The 15,218-nt window shown below is 46.5% G+C and overlaps 1 protein-coding gene across 16 annotated transcripts in view, besides 10 other annotated features; it reads left to right on the top strand.

Moving 5' to 3' along the window:
- VOPP1 (VOPP1 WW domain binding protein) overlaps nucleotides 1-15,218 on the top strand; it is a 137,539-nt gene that overhangs the window by 24,908 nt on the left and 97,413 nt on the right. For 2 of the 16 annotated variants that reach the window (XM_011515540.3, NM_001284283.2), the window contains exon 1: nucleotides 8,928-8,982. The exons of 11 other annotated variants lie outside the window; for them this stretch is intronic. In XM_011515540.3, coding sequence (XP_011513842.1) covers nucleotides 8,938-8,982 — 45 coding nt within the window. In that variant the 5' untranslated portion in view covers nucleotides 8,928-8,937. Of the gene's footprint in view, nucleotides 1-8,927; nucleotides 8,983-9,878; nucleotides 10,095-15,218 lie in introns of those variants that run through there. 3 more of the 16 variants (XM_011515541.3, NM_001284284.1, NM_001321242.1) reach the window with 2 other exon arrangements.
- Nucleotides 1,506-1,665: an enhancer, noted in NCBI's record as "active region_26034". NCBI's record gives its function as "activates an Ori minimal core promoter by ATAC-STARR-seq in GM12878 lymphoblastoid cells {active_cell/tissue: GM12878}" and the evidence as "EXISTENCE:reporter gene assay evidence [ECO:0000049][PMID:35858748]".
- Nucleotides 7,707-8,339: an enhancer, noted in NCBI's record as "OCT4-NANOG hESC enhancer chr7:55606949-55607581 (GRCh37/hg19 assembly coordinates)". NCBI's record gives its function as "activates a minimal SCP1, AML or CMV promoter by ChIP-STARR-seq in primed H9 embryonic stem cells {active_cell/tissue: H9 hESC(primed)}" and the evidence as "EXISTENCE:reporter gene assay evidence [ECO:0000049][PMID:30033119]".
- Nucleotides 10,699-10,848: an enhancer, noted in NCBI's record as "active region_26033". NCBI's record gives its function as "activates an Ori minimal core promoter by ATAC-STARR-seq in GM12878 lymphoblastoid cells {active_cell/tissue: GM12878}" and the evidence as "EXISTENCE:reporter gene assay evidence [ECO:0000049][PMID:35858748]".
- Nucleotides 11,459-11,788: an enhancer, noted in NCBI's record as "active region_26032". NCBI's record gives its function as "activates an Ori minimal core promoter by ATAC-STARR-seq in GM12878 lymphoblastoid cells {active_cell/tissue: GM12878}" and the evidence as "EXISTENCE:reporter gene assay evidence [ECO:0000049][PMID:35858748]".
- Nucleotides 12,509-12,668: an enhancer, noted in NCBI's record as "active region_26031". NCBI's record gives its function as "activates an Ori minimal core promoter by ATAC-STARR-seq in GM12878 lymphoblastoid cells {active_cell/tissue: GM12878}" and the evidence as "EXISTENCE:reporter gene assay evidence [ECO:0000049][PMID:35858748]".
- Nucleotides 12,689-13,298: an enhancer, noted in NCBI's record as "active region_26030". NCBI's record gives its function as "activates an Ori minimal core promoter by ATAC-STARR-seq in GM12878 lymphoblastoid cells {active_cell/tissue: GM12878}" and the evidence as "EXISTENCE:reporter gene assay evidence [ECO:0000049][PMID:35858748]".
- Nucleotides 13,339-13,398: an enhancer, noted in NCBI's record as "active region_26029". NCBI's record gives its function as "activates an Ori minimal core promoter by ATAC-STARR-seq in GM12878 lymphoblastoid cells {active_cell/tissue: GM12878}" and the evidence as "EXISTENCE:reporter gene assay evidence [ECO:0000049][PMID:35858748]".
- Nucleotides 13,739-13,808: an enhancer, noted in NCBI's record as "active region_26028". NCBI's record gives its function as "activates an Ori minimal core promoter by ATAC-STARR-seq in GM12878 lymphoblastoid cells {active_cell/tissue: GM12878}" and the evidence as "EXISTENCE:reporter gene assay evidence [ECO:0000049][PMID:35858748]".
- Nucleotides 13,879-13,998: an enhancer, noted in NCBI's record as "active region_26027". NCBI's record gives its function as "activates an Ori minimal core promoter by ATAC-STARR-seq in GM12878 lymphoblastoid cells {active_cell/tissue: GM12878}" and the evidence as "EXISTENCE:reporter gene assay evidence [ECO:0000049][PMID:35858748]".
- Nucleotides 15,069-15,128: an enhancer, noted in NCBI's record as "active region_26026". NCBI's record gives its function as "activates an Ori minimal core promoter by ATAC-STARR-seq in GM12878 lymphoblastoid cells {active_cell/tissue: GM12878}" and the evidence as "EXISTENCE:reporter gene assay evidence [ECO:0000049][PMID:35858748]".

Genomic DNA, 15,218 nt, shown 5'->3' with positions numbered 1-15,218 from the left:
AAAGGGTTGCATGATGGGCATACTTAGTTCCGTGCTCCAGAGCTCTCTGTAAAGGTGTATTCCTGTTGTTTCTCAAGTTTACATGAGGTTCTGTAACTCCCAAAAAGTTGGCAAGGTTTATTGGTATGCAGAGGCTTACGTTTAAATTAAAGATTCCTGTACTTACATGTCACTGTTAATTAGCCCAAATTTCACTCCCAGCCTTGGTGTGCGTATGGCATCAACCTTAGAAAGCCTTGGAGCCCACCTTGCCTGCCACTCTTCCTATTCATTTCTACATGAATGCATGTAGCCCCAGGGGGAAGGTAGCCTCAGTCCTGTTGGGGTCCTGTTATCTGTGGAACCCCTGGAGCCCCTTTGTCCCCCGTCCCCAGCCTCAGAGGTGGGACAGGGTTGGATCTGGATGTTAGCTGGCATTAGGTGAGAACAGTGGAATCAAGACCCAACCCACCACTCCCTCCTACAGCTCTGTCGGCTTCTCCCAAGTCTTAACAGCTGACCTGGGGCTGCTAAAATCCAGGTCAGAGGGATTACAAATTGCATGGCCTTCTGCCAGTCTGGGCGGTTGGCAGAATGTGGGTCGAGAGAGCTGTGTTGCTGAGTCATCTCTGCTCTGACTCGCTCATCAGTGAAATGAAGGCTGTCCTTCTCCATGTTCAGGGGCACTGGGGACAAGGCCTGTAGCTCCCATTTGTGGAGGTGCTTCCTGTTGGTTTTAGGATGCAGACCTGATCCCATGGCTTAGCCTCCCAGGCTCTGCATGGCCTGAGCTCTCGGCCTGCTGGCCTCTGCTCCATCGCCCCTCCCTTTGGGCTCTGTGCTTCAAAGCTGGAGCCTTAATTCAGGGGTGGTGGTGGTCGTGGTGGTATCACTTATTTCTTGGCGGGGGAGCACAATATATTTGTATATTTTTTAAATCAACTTTTAATTTTGGAATAAGTTTAGATTTATAGAAAATTTGCAAAGCACATTTGCAGAGCAAATACAGAGTTGCTGTATAACCCAGTTTCCACTAATTTAATAACTTACATTGCCATGCTGCATTTGCCTAAAAAGGAAACCAACATTGGTATATTGCTATTAATTAAAATTGCTTTATTTGGATCTCTCCAGTTTTTCCATTAATGTCCCTTTTTCTGTTGGGAGATTCAGTTCATCATGGCGTATTGATTTAGGCTCATTTCAGTTTTGCCAAAACTTCTTGCATCCTACCACCTCACGGTCCATAGAGCATATAATTCCGCCTTTCCCTTAAGTGTTCTCTTTGTACAACTATTCTCAACTTAGTGAGCTACCTGGGAATTATATCTTCATTCATGGGTCAGATCCTGTCTACATCTCCCTCGACTGTCTTGTAACTCAGGAGATGGCACCACCTGTGCCCTCCTCATGACTGAGTCCTTGTCTTCTAGCACAGGCCAGAGCTGTGGAGTGCTTAGTGAGTATCTGTGAGCTGATTGAACAGCTGGGCTTAGTAAATCCTTCCGTTTTTTCACTTTTTCTTTTCTTTATTTTATTTTTTTTAATTGAGACAGGGTCTCATTCTGTCACCCAGACTGGAGTGCAGTGGTGCAATCACGGCTCATCGCAACCTTGACCTCTCAGGCTCAGGTGGTCCTCCCACCTCAGCTTCCTGAATAGCTGGTATTACAGGCATGTGCCACCATGCTAATTTTTGTATTTTTTTTTGTAGAGTTGGGGTCTTGCTGTGTGGCCCGGGCTGGTCTCAAACTCCTGGGCTCAAGGGATCCGCCTACCTCAGCCTCCCAGAGTGCTGGTGTGAGTCACTGCACCCAGCCAAATCATTCCTTTTTAAACACAAGAGCTGCAGCTCTCCACAAATGACAGATCTGTGAGCTTCCATGGGGCTTGCCAGACAGGGAGCCTTAGGCACAGAGCACGAGCAGGCAGTGTTCAGCTCAGTGGATCCCTCTTGAGTCCCGGTGGATGTGTAACCAGTGTGGCCCGCAAGCTGTGATTCCAACTGCAGTCACGCCTGTGTTATTTTTCTAGTCATACTGGAGTGTAGTCATACCTGTGTTTATCCTAAGGTGAATTCAGCCATGCATACTGGGCCAGAAAGAGGATGGGGAGAGCAGGCTTCTTCCCTCCTGGCTGCGCCTCTGAGTGCCTCCCTCCTGCCATGGGTCAGTTGTGTGCTGCTTTGTCTGGGGCTGGTGGGATCTTGACATCAAGACAGGCCTCCCAGGGGAGAGCAGCACGTTCTTGGACCTCACAGCACTGGGGGCTTCAGTGACTCAGTGGGATGCCCCTCCTGATGAAAGAGTTTTCTTCTCCTAGCGTGGTCTCACCTGTGCCCCTTTAAAGAAATAGTGATCACAGGGAACATTGACCATAGGTGACTTTTCCTGTATTTAACAAGTTTATTTCATTTTTAAATAAAGTAATATATGTATATAAATGGAAAGTTTAATAATGTCACAGCTTAACACAGTCTTCCCCATGCCCCACCGTTGTGGTCTGCTTCTCAGAAGAACTACTTTCAACTCTTATTTAGCTGGTTCTTCTACTATTTGCCTCCACATTTTAAAATAATACACATACCTTCTAGCTCTTGATTTAACAGTGCTAGACATTATTTAATCTCTCTTCCTCTATCCTCTCAGTATATATGTTTATATCAGTACCGATTACACGAAAGTAAAATGTATTTAAAATATCTGGTTAAATCCACATTTAGTATCATCATTATTTTGACTACGTTTTGCTGACTGTTGAGCCAGTGTAGAACACTAAAATTGCGCTTTTATTGGACAACTTTTTTTATTTTCCTTGAGTTCAAAATGGCCTCGTGGTTTCATTAGCTTAGTTTATTTCAGATGTTTGCTTGAGTTCCACGGTCTCCACCAACTCTGCTCTCCACCAACTCTGCGGAAGCCTTCAACAACACTCTCCAGAGTTAAATGTTAGATTACATTCGTCAGTTTCAGTTTCCCCTCTGGTGAGGTCCTCCCTGAAACCCCCACTCTTCCACACCAGTTGGAGCTGTGTTCTTTTTGGGAAGACCCAAAAAGAAGTTTTCAGCACATTCCAGTATCAGAAAGACTGTTTTCTTTTCAAGAAACACTATCTTTTCTCGCAAGTTTTTTTCATCCGATGGACACCATGATGTTGTGACTAACAGCGTTCCCCGTTCTGCCTTGGCCCTCAGGAGCCTGGAGCTAAGTGTGGGGCCATCTCCTTCCCCCACCAGCCCTACTGCCCCAAACCATAAAAACCATGCCATTGTGTGCATTTATTTTGTTCCAATTTCATCATATTTTCTTCTTCTTGTGTCGCTTTTGGTCAGCTAAAATCTTTTAAGAATGTGTTTTACAGATTAACACAGAAGCATGCTGGGCCACACATTTACAGCCAGTTGATTTTTGACAAAGGGGCTGAGAACATCCATTGGGCAAAGGACATTGTCTCTTCAATAAATGGTGCTGGGAAAACTGTACATCCATATGAAGAAGAATGAAAGTAGACTTCTGTCTCTCGCCATGTACAAAAATCAACTCAAAATCAAAGACTTAAATGTAAGACCTGGAACTATGAAAGTATTATGCTAAAATAAAACTTTGGGGAAATGCTTCAGGACATTGTTTTGGGCAAAGATTTCTTGAGTAAAGCCTCAAAAGCACAGGCAACCAAAGCAAAAATTGACAAATACGATTACATCAAGCTAAAAAGTTTCTGCACAGCAAAGAAAACAATCAACAAAGTGAAAAGACAACCCACAGAATGAGAGAAAATATTTGTAGGCTATTCATCTGACATGGGATTAATAACCAGAATATATAAAGAGCTCAAACAACTCAGTAGCCAAAAACCAAATAATCTGATTTAAAAATGGGCAAATTATTTGAATAGACATTTCTCAAAAAAAAAAAACCATGTAAATGGCCAACAGGTATATGAAAAAATACTCAACACCGCTAATCATTAGGGAAATGCAAATCAAAACCATGAGATATCACCTCATCTCAGTTAAAATGGCTATTATCAAAAAGACTGAAAATAAATGGTGAGGATATGGCGAAAGGGGACCTCTCAAACACTAGTGGTGGGAATGTAAGTTAGTACTATGGAGAGCAGTATGGAGGCTCTTCAGAAAACTAAGAATATGGAACTACCTTATGATCTAGCAATCTCATTGCCAGGTATTTTAAATGGACAAAGGATTTGGACACACATTTCTCCAAGGAAGAACATGAGCATATTGAAGAGATATTTGTACTCCCATGTTTGTTACAGCACTGTTAATAGCCAAGATAAGGAATCCACCTAAGTGCCCATCAGTGGACACATGGATAAGGAAAATGTGGTTTTATATACACAATGGAATATTATAAAGCCATAATAAAGAATAAAATCCTAGGCTGGGTGCGGTGGCTCATGCCTGTAATCCCAGCACTTTGGGAGGCTGAGATGGGCGGATCATGAGGTCAGGAGATCGAGACCATCCTGGCTAACACGGTGAAACCCTGTCTCTACTAAAAACACAAAAAATTAGCCGGGCGTGGTGGCAGGTGCCTGTATTCCCAGCTACTCGAGAGGCTGAAGCAGGAGAATGGTGTGAACCCGGGAGGTGGAGCTTGCAGTGAGCCAAGATCACGCCACTGCACTCCAGCCTGGACAACAGAGCGAGACTCGTCTCCAAAAAAATAAAAATAAAAAAACAAAAAAGAAGAATGAAATCCTGCTAGTTGCAGTAATGTGGATCAATATGGAGAACATTAAGTGAAATAAGCCAGGCACAGAAAAACAAATATTGCCTGTTCTGTATTTTTTTTTTTTTCTTGGAGATGGAGTCTCGCTCTGTCTCCCAGGCTGGAGTACAATGGCACGATCTCGGTTCACTGCAACCTCTGCTTCTAGGGTTCAAGTGATTCTCCTGCCTAAAGCTTCCCAAGTAGCTGGGATTGTAGGCATGCACCACCACGACCGGCTAACTTTGTATTTTTAGTAGAGACGGGCCTTCACCATGTTGGCCAGGCTGGTCTTGAACTCCTGACCTCAAGTGATCTGCCCGCCTCGGCCTCCCAAAGTGCTGGGATCACAGGCATGAGCCACCATGCCAGCCTGCCTGTTCTTAATCATATGTGGAAGCTAAAATATTTGATCTCATGAAGGTAATGAAAAGAAGAGTGGTTACCAGAGGCTGGAAAGGGTAGTGGGGAGACGGGGATGGAGAGGAGTTAATTGTTGGGGATGAAAATACAGTTAGAAGGAATAAGATGTGGTGTTCGGTAGCACAGTAGAGCAACTGTAGTTAACAAAAATTAATTATATATTTCAAAATAGCTGGAAGAGAAAATTTGGAATGTTCCCAACACAGGAAGTGATAAATATTTGAGGTGGTAGATATTTCTGTTACTCTGATTTGATCATTACACATTGTATGCTTGTATCAAAATGTCATGTGTAGCCCATAAATATGTACAACTATTAGGAATCCATAAAATTTGTTAAAAAAAATACATGCTGGATTTGTCTTATGTTTTTAAACAGCTTTGTTGAGATGTCGTTCACATGCCATCATCTCGCCCATCTATATTGTATGATTTAATTTTTGATAGAGTCACAGGGTTTTTCATCCATCATCACAATCCAATTTTGGAATATTTTGTTCCTCCTAGAAGAAATCTTGTACCTTTAGCAGTCACTCCTGATTCTGGCCCACCCTACCCAAGCCCTGAGCAACCATTAATCTACTCTCTGTCTCTAAATTTACTCTTTCTGGACATGTCATATAAATGGAATCATGTAACGTGGTCCCTTAGGACGGGCTTCTCTTGTGTTATAGCATGAATCAGTACTTCATTTTCATTGCTAAATAACCGGATACACCACATTTGGTTATCCATTCAGCAGTTGATGGACATTTGGATTGTCTCCACTTTTTGGCTATTGTGAATAATGCTGCTGTGAACATTTGTGTACAGGTCTTTGTGGGCATATGTTTTCATTTCTCTTGGATAAATATCTACAAGTGGAATTGCTAGGTTATGTGATGACTGTTTAGCCTTTTGAGGAACTGCTAGACTGATTTTCAAAGCTGCTGCACCATTCTGTTCCCAACAGCAATGTATGAGGGGTCAAATGTTCCACATTTTCGCCAATACTTGTTATTGTCTGTCTTTTTTATTATAGTCATATTAGTGGGTGTGAAGTGGTATTTCACAGTGATTTTTACTTGTAATTCCCTAATGACTAATGTTGTTGAGCTTCTTTTCATTTGTTTATTGGCTGTTTGCATTATCTTCCTTGGAGAAATGTGTATCCAAATCCTTTGCCCATTTAAAAAATAACATGTTTATTAAGATAGAATTTAAGTATCATATAATTCATCCACTTAAAGTGTACAATTCTGAAGTTTTTCATATATTCACAGAGTTATGCAAGTATTGCCACAATCAAGAATATTTTCATCACCTCACAAAGAAACCCTGTACCCACTAGCAGTCACTCCTTTGCCCATTTTTAATGGCTTCTGTTTTTGATATTGAGCGGTAAGACTTTAAATACGTTCCTTATCAGCTAGATAATGGGCAAGTATTTTTTTCCCGTTTCTGCGGGTTGTCGTTTTACTTTATGGTATTGTTTGCAGCCCAAGAATTTTAAGTTTCAATGTAGTCCACTTTATGTATTTTTTTCTCATTACTTTTGCTTTTGGTGTTGTTTTTTTCCTTGTATTTTAAAATGGTATTTATGTAAGCCTTCTCAGACCCTTTTTGAGATCTAAGCCAGACATAAAAATAAACTACGCCGTAAAATTGTGGCATCGACTCTGTCTCAGTGTTGTCTTGGCGGTGAATTCAATAGTAAATTCCCTGCGTTGAGGCCGCAGCGGAGGTGAAGACCTGACACTTAGGGGAAGCAGCCTGCAGGTGAGTGCTCTGTGAGGGCAGCGCCCGTGGTGTCTGGAGGAGCCCTGAGTCCATACACATGGAACTTATGCTCCACGTGTTTACTCGGCTGGGCACCAGGTGGAGGTCAGCCCTTGAAGCTGCTGAGAACAGAAGCACAGCAATGTTGGTGACGGCCAGAGGTCTAAACAGGCAGCCTCCCTGAGGGCACATGGGGTCTCCTCAGCAGACAGTCTGGGGCAATCAAACACAAGGACGGAATGGGAGTTCATTTATTTTTATTTATTTATTTATTTATTTATTTATTTATTTATTTATTTATTTTTGAGACAGAGTCTCACTCTGTCGCCAGGCTGGAGTGCAGTAGCGCGATCTCGGCTCACTGCAACATCCATCTCCAGGGTTAAAGTGATTCTCCTGCCTCAGTCTCCCGGGTAGCTGGGACTACAGGCACGCACCACCATGCCCAGCTAATTTTTGTATTTTTAGCGGAGACAGGGTTTCACTGTGTTGGCCAGGATGGTCTCGATCTCTTGACCTCGTGATCCACCCTCCTCGGCCTCCCAAAGTGCTGGGATTACAGGCGTGAGCCACTGCGCCTGGCTGGGAGTTCATTTATTTTATGAGCTAAACAGACATGTGTTACCTAGCCAGGGAAGTTCGCCAACATTTATACCATCATTTCCGTGAGAAAATGAGCCCTAAATTTTAAACCATCCCTAAGTTGGGGATTATCTGTCTTAATTCATGAGTGTTCCTGCTGTTTCCTTATTTGGGAGGCTGTGTGTGTGTGTGTGTGTGTGTGTGTGTGTGTGTGTGTGTGCAGCGCTTATGTTATGCGCCCGTTTGTTATGTTGTGTGTATGACAAATATGCGTGTATGTGTGTATATATAACATGTTTCTCCATTGAGTCCTGGTTCCTGTCCATATAGTTGGTTCAGCAACCACTTACTGAGCCTGCCTGTGGCCACCTCTGTCCCAGGTCCACGCAGGAAGGCAGTCTCCCTTCAGCATGCCACCTCCAGAGGGACTCAACTCCATCCGTGTCAGGGGCTGTTGAGCTCACAGCGGGGCTGATGATCCAGTTGTGAATTATTCACATGCTTTGTTTCCTTCCCTTTCAGCCTCACATGTGGCCCTTTAACAGCTCATTAGTTTTGTTTTAAGGACAGGCAGGGAGAGAGCAATGGGGAGAAGCTGAATTCAGTTTGGTTGAATCTTTGGGATGAAGGGGTGAGTACCAAGTGGAATGGAATTCTTAAATCATCTGGGGATTTCATGTGTTGATCTTGTTCCTTTTTCTCATAGATAATTGATTTGGTGGTTTTAAGTTTTTAAATACAATAAATACACGTACTTTTTTTGTTATTGTTGGGGGGATCAAGTTTCGCTCATGTCGCCCAGGCTGGAGTGCAATGGTGTGATCTTAGCTCACTGCAACCTCCGCCTCCCGGGTCCAAGCGATTCTCCTGCCTCAGCCTCCCGAGTAGCTGGGATTACAGACGTGTGCCACCATGCCCGGCTAATTTTTGTATTTTTAGTGGAGGAGGGGGTTTCACCATGTTGCCCAGGCTGGTCTTGAACTCCTGACCTCAGGTGATCCGCTTGCCTCGGCCTCCCAAAGTGCTGGGATTACAGGCGTGAGCCATCACACCCGGCACCCCGCCCCTCCCCCCCCCCCTTTTTTTTTAAAGGAATGAAACAAAAAGGAATGAAACCTTTCCCTCCCCAATACCTTCTCAACCCTAGACCCTCTACAGAGAAAGAGGCATACCTCTCTGATAAGTTTCTTGTGCAACTTTTTTTTTTAAGATTGTATACCCAAATATTTGGTTAAAAGTACACAGATGGGATCATATTATAGACAGTGTTCTGCATCTTGTTTCTCCTTTTTTTTTTTTTTTTTAAGAAATGTTGCTTGGAGATGTTTCCTCATCAGCAGCTCAAACCCACAGCATTCCCCTTAGAAAGCGTTCCTTTATAGGAATGGCCATGACTCATTTTAATCCGCCCTCTCTTGATGAACAGCTAAGTAGTTTGTAGCTGTTTTTGTCATTACACACAATGCTCAGCGAAACTCTTGGGTATCTGTCTTCTGTGCTCTTGCAGGTTTGTATAGATGGATTATTATGTTTGTTATTAAACCATGTAAAGCAGTTTACAGTGATCCTCAGTTGGACTGTGGAATCCTCAGTCTTTGGACCATAGGGTTGTTCTTTTTGTGTGGTTTGTGTAGCCTGGCAGGAAGGGCTTGTGTTTAGATTTTGAGAGGGTATTTGAGCATCAAGTTAGCAAAGAACGAAACATTGTTCATTTCAAGAATAAGTCTGAATAAGATGTTGGATATATTCTTTGCAGCTTCATAATGCTTTGCAGACTGGAAGGACTGGCTACATCTTTACCTGGACCTAGAGAAGGACCAGAGAGTGTAGCTCAGTTGGAGAAGAGAGTTCCTAAGTGCGGACTGCATAAGGGATGGTGTTTGCAAATCGCTACTCAGAGTGGTTTGTAGCAAAATAGACTGACTTTGCAATACTTCGTGTTCCAGAAACACTTCTGCAATGAGAGCGGTCTCTAGAGGGGATCAGCAGGAAAAGTTTTCCACCAGTTCAGCTGGTGAAAGAGGTGTCTCGAAGCCCTAAAGTGGGAGAGGCAGAGGGCAGCTTAGTGTGGTCGGGCCAGGCTGGAGGCAGTGTTTGGATCTGGGTGTGTGAGCTGAATGGGGGCTCCTGGGGCCTCCTTGCTGGCTGGTGGAGAGGAATGGCAGGTGGGCAGGAGACAGCCCAGATTCACGCTGGCCTCCATCTCTGCCTGGTGGGGCCACTTGGCACTTAGTAAGTGGTTTGGGGGAGAATGAACTTTTGTGGGCAGTTCCCCCTTTCATGGGTTTGAAGTAGTGGAAGTTGGAGGGGAAGTGGGGGCTGTGGGAAGTGCATGTTCCTTGGTGGCCTGGGCCTGGGGGCCGGACCTGCTTTTCACACTGTCACAAGCGCTGGCTTCTTGAATCCTTGTAGCGTCCTCCATGGTAGATGTTCTCACCACTCAACAGAGGAGGATACTGCAGGGTCTGCGGGCGCCAGAGCTTTATTTATGTGTGCTCCGTATTGGAGGGCTGCGTGTGACCCAGCAGTGACAGGACCGTGGGCGACTGGCTGGCGAGGAGGTGCGCTGCCTGCATCCTTGCGCCTAACAGAATGCGAAGGACGGGCTCACATGCTCAGGTGCTTGCTCGGCTGGTGGTTCAGTTTGCTGTGAAGCCTGGCCCAGAGTTTGGGCTTCAGTTCTGGGAAAGAAGAGCATGGTGGGCAGTTATGTGTTACCTCCAGAAGGCTGGAGCACGAAATCAGTGGTCTGACTTGTTGGCCTCTGCTTGCTCCAGAGCCAGCAGTGGGGGCAGAGTGCCAGCTGAGGTGTGTGAGAGACGTCAGTGAGATTCCTGCTTGGCTTCCCAGATGTTGCTGCACGCTGTGGGTGTTCGGGGTACAAAATATGTGTGTTCAGCTGAAGGAAGGGTATGCAGGCCTGGTTGGGACAGGGCAGGGTCAGTGCTGCCGGGACGGAGGGGCAGAGCCTTCCACGCAGGCACAGTCCAGGGTCAGGGAATTAGACAGGTCAGGCCGAGAGATCTTGGACTCACCATCTGCATTGCGTTTCTCGTCAGAAAATGTCTGGCCCCTCCCCAAAGCCCCTTCCTTAATCCTCTCAGCCTCTCAGACATGACTTGAAGTCTCAGGTTTTGTGGCCAGGGAGGCCCCACCTTCCCCTGGTGGTGCCTCAAGAGCTCTGCGTTTCATGCGGTCTGGCTGCCATTCTGTTCACTGTCTCTTGCATTTGTGGGCACTTACATTGAATGCCCTGTTGAGTGAGGCTGGGTGCCCACCTCAACCAGACTGGGTACGGTGCGCCCTTCCGTGTGGCAGATGCGCTGCCTGAGCCAGGATCAGCACGCCGCCCCTGTGGTCACGCTCCGTGCCTGGGCCAGTGCTCCTTGGTGTGAACACGAGTTGTTTTTATATCAGTGTCATTGTTCAGTCCTGCCACGTGCCATGTGCTCTGCCCTCATTCTCTCCCGTCTTCCTCTTGGAAAATGTTTTGAGAGACACAATGAAGTTCTCTTTGTCCCCATCAGCATATTGTGCTCCTAAGTTCTCTATCCTCATGGTGGTAAATCTTGCCTGAGTTTGTTTTTTTGTTTGAGACAGAGTGTCACTCTCACCCAGGCTGCAGAGCAGTGGTGCAATCTCGGCTCACTGCAACCTCTGCCTCCAGGGTTCAAGCAATTCCCCTGCCTCAACCTCCCGAGTAGCTGGGACTACAGGCGCCCGCCACCACACCGGGCTAATTTTTGTATTTTTAGTAGAGACGGGGTTTCACCATGTTGGCCAGGTTGGTCTTAGACTCCTGACCTCAGGTGATCTGCCTGCCTTGGCCTCCCGAAGTGCTGGGATTACAGGCGTGAGCCACCACGCCCGGCCTTGCTTGAGTTTTAATCAGCCTATGTATCCTGGCAGTCAGGGCCAGTCTCCATACTTCAGGGTGTATAGTCAAATCCAAGTACAACTTTTGAGCAGGCAGAGAAGGAAGTGGATATGTGAGCGTTTCCACCAAAGGTTTCCTGAACGCTTGGCCTGGGTCAGGCACTGGGGCCAACAGGGTGGCCGAGGCAGGGCCCTTACTCCTCAGGAGCTCCTGAAGACCCAACCCTGCAGGAGGAGCCAGGGCCCTGAGTGCATGATCCTTGCTTGGCACAGAGTGTGGGTCAGGTGTAGGAAAGAGTCGGTCGTCATCAAGGAAAGAACACTGTCTTTGGAGATAGTCTCAGACCTGCGGTAAGTTGATGTCTGCCTGCCCAGCCTCTGCACAGAGGGACAGTGCCCCAACTGCATCCTGGGATGGCAGACACAGTGCTGAGCATGTCTGCTGGTTGAGGGCAGCCCACTCCTTCCCATGGTCTCATTAGGACCAAATAAGTTCACGGAAGGGAAGATTCCTTGTAAGCTGAAGTGCTGAGAGTTAAATTTAATCAGAGCCCCAAGGGGGAAAACTAACAACTCACCTTCTGGAAGTCTCGAAAATTTTCATCCAAGTGACACTGAGGCTGAGGCTCCGTTGGTGGAAACTCTGAAGAAGTGTTTTCCAGATGGAAGTGAATAGACCTAGGGTTCTCTAGAGGTGCATGGATGGAAATGGCTGCGGGGCGGGGGACTGGGAGGAGCGGCAGAGACAGGAAGAGCCAATGGCATGTGGGGGCGGCCAGGCCAGAAGGACACTCCCTGGGGTCTGTACTTCACCCTCAGTGAGGCAGCAGGGTTTCCAGGGGGAGCCTGCCCCAGTGCCCTCTGAGCTCACTGAGCTTTGCCCTGATCAGTCAGCCCCACTCTTTTTGCTTGTTTGTGTAATGAAGCCCACTGAAGATAAAATTGCATTCAGAAGAAAGAAAATTATGACCTCAAGGGGAAGCAAAGAGAAACCCACAGTGAATGGGGAGCCCCTGGAGATTTTCTAGCAGGAGTTGGTGTGCTGTGTGCCCTCCTTTCCTATTCTCTATGACAGAGCCCTGCGTAGCCCCCTGAGCTTTGTCAAGGCTGCTGAGAGGTTTAGGGGCAGGTGCAGTGTCAGGAGTCCCCCAGCCAGGCCCTGGCACTAGAGGCCATGCGGCCAGACTTGGATGTGGCAGTGGTCTTGGGGCAGGTGCTGCAGGCTCTACCACTCTTCAACTGTGTCTTCCTGTTCTCCTCTTCTCCCATCAGCAAGCTCACCCCCTGGCTTTTGATGCCAGCCTCCTTTGTGGTGTGGCAGGAATGTCCTGGGAAGAGACAAGGCTTGACCACGTGGATGGAGTGGGAAGACAGGAGGCACTGGGGACAGCATGTGGCTGGGGTGAGCTAGTGGGCGGTGGTACTTTCCCCAAAGTCCAGAGCACTGGGTGGGAGCAGCGCTCAGCTGTAGGGATGTCTGGTGTGAGGTTCTTCTGGGCACCTGGCAGAGATCCCAGGTGGCAACTGGCAGAAGGTCCCCAGCTCAGAGTGGGCCCTGCATGGCGTTGTATGCTGGTGTTCTTTTGTGGGCAGGACACCTGCAAGAGGGCTACAGCTGGAGAAATGGGTGGGGAGGAGTGGCTGTTGACAGCTCCCTGGGCCCAGAGAGAATTGAGTCAGAATTGGGGAAATTGCAGAGCGAGCTCAAAAGCAGAAACCCAGTTGGGGGAAAGTACTGAGCCCAGGGCTCTAAATGACTAATGCAGAAATGATGTTAAGTTTACCTCCAGTCAGAGTGAAACTTTGGGCAGCCCCCGCTCCCTACACGCAGCTGCCCTTCAGGGGAAGTGAGAATTGGCCCAAGCCACAGGTGACCATGACAGGACCTTGCACTAGCTGAGACCCGAGGGTTTAGGAAATTATATGAGAAATGAAGCAAGAGATGATTATCTTTTGACAGCCAAGTCCCCAGATGGAATTTAGATATTTGAACTAGGCCTAAGGAATGTCTGTCTATTAAGTGTCTGTAGAAATTTCTGTCATCTGCTTGCACTTGCTGTTTTACTCTGCTACCATTCTTTTCTCTCTCCATCTCGTAAAAAAAAAAAAAAAGCTACATGAAATGATTTCCTTCACGGATTTTAACAAGCCAGGACACAGTGACAGCTATTAGAAATTATAGCTGACAGGGCTGGGAGACAGCTGTACAGTTTGCTGGTGACCTTGCACAAATGAGTTGTTTTGGGTGGAAAAGCTGTTGCTTATTTACAACACTGAGGCAGAGTTGTTGCTTTTGGATCTGAGTTTTGCCATCCTCCTTCCTGTGGGTGTTTTCACTCATCTACCTCCCTACCCACCCACCACACACTGGGTACGAGAAAAGGTAAGAAGAAAAGACTGGGAGGATCAGAGGATATGAAGGTCAGTCCCCAGACAACATCATCGAAGTTCACCCCATCACTATGTTGATGACTGAGGAGGGAAAGCCAGGTAGGGATTTAGGATTAACCTGAGTGCTGTTCTACATTCAGCCTCCCTTGCTAGTCTCCCTGATGGGGACTTTCCTTTGGTGGGTAGTATGAGGGGTTCTTTGAGTTAGCAGAGTCCCTTCCATCTGAAGAAGCTGAGGCTCAGGGGAGTTTCCAGGCAGTGAGACCCTAGGTCCGGAAGGTTCCCTGATGTGGTGTCCCACATAGCTGCTTCCTCTTTCGTGGTTAAAAGCAGATGGCAGACAGCACAGTCAACCACGGTCATCTCTGAGGCTGACTCAGAGCAGGCAGGTGTTTTTTTGTTTTTGTTTTTTTTTCTTGGCACAGGGAAATCTAAATGAGAGAAGAAATATTTATAAGTGATGGCTCTGGAAGCTGCTTGTGGGTGGACAGTGATGCCCTTCCTGAGTGGGGAAGGCAGGGGCATTTCTGCTGCTGTCCTTGGGCACTGCCTTTCAAGAGCACCACACTGCCCCTTGCATGCACCCACAGACAACACTGAGTGACCGGCCTCCATCCTCACTGGTCTGACCTGGAGGCAGCTGACTGAACCAGCTTTTAGGAGGCACTCATGTGAGTTTGTGTTAAACAGAAATGATTGAGTTGATTGGGTTCAGGAGAGAGACAGAACTGGCATCAAAATCACCTTCCTGGCACATATGTTCTCAGTCCTCCTGGTTTTAGCTTAGGCCTCCACACTGCCAGAGACTCCCTGAAGATTTTCTGATACACAGATGCTGCTTTGGGGCAGCACGTGGAACTGACTCTCTTTCTCCCCAAATTTGCTGTAACAGCTTAGTCCCTTAACATTTATAACCAATCAATTCATGACAAGAAATAGAAAGTCTTCTAAGCACAAGAAATTGCTTTTTGACTCCAGGTTAAATATTACCAGATTTAATGAAAATGCATATTACTAGAATTGAGGGGGTGTGAAATTTGGTAGTAGTGAAAAGGAATGAGAGGAGTACACGTGGCAGTGCTTCCCAGTACCTTCCTGGGAAGAGAATGCTGACAGGGTGTGCCAGAAGCCATGAAAACTTCCATGGAAAGGGGAGGAGCCTCCCTCAGATTGCTTTGAGCTGTATTTTTCCACACCAGGGTATCATTTCCAAGCTGGTGGTTGTAACTAGTGTAGTTTCTAAACTTCTGTTTTTTGTTTGTTTGTTTTTCTGGTTCATTTTGGATCACAGGTTCCATATTCTCACTCTCCATAGAGACACAAAAGTACGTTGTAGAGAATGTTAACTGCATCTTTAGGTTGAGCTTTACTTGACCATGATTCTCAAGAATAAACCGACACAGCACACAATGTAACGACTTAGCAGGAGGCTCTTAGAATAGTGGGCATGCGCCAGGTGGTTCGCATACACTGTTT

The sequence above is a fragment of the Homo sapiens genome, chromosome 7 (genome assembly GCF_000001405.40).
Source record: "Homo sapiens chromosome 7, GRCh38.p14 Primary Assembly".
Taxonomy (NCBI): Eukaryota; Metazoa; Chordata; class Mammalia; order Primates; family Hominidae; genus Homo; species Homo sapiens.
Note: the sequence above shows the minus strand (reverse complement) of the source record. Positions and strands in the feature narration are given on the sequence as shown.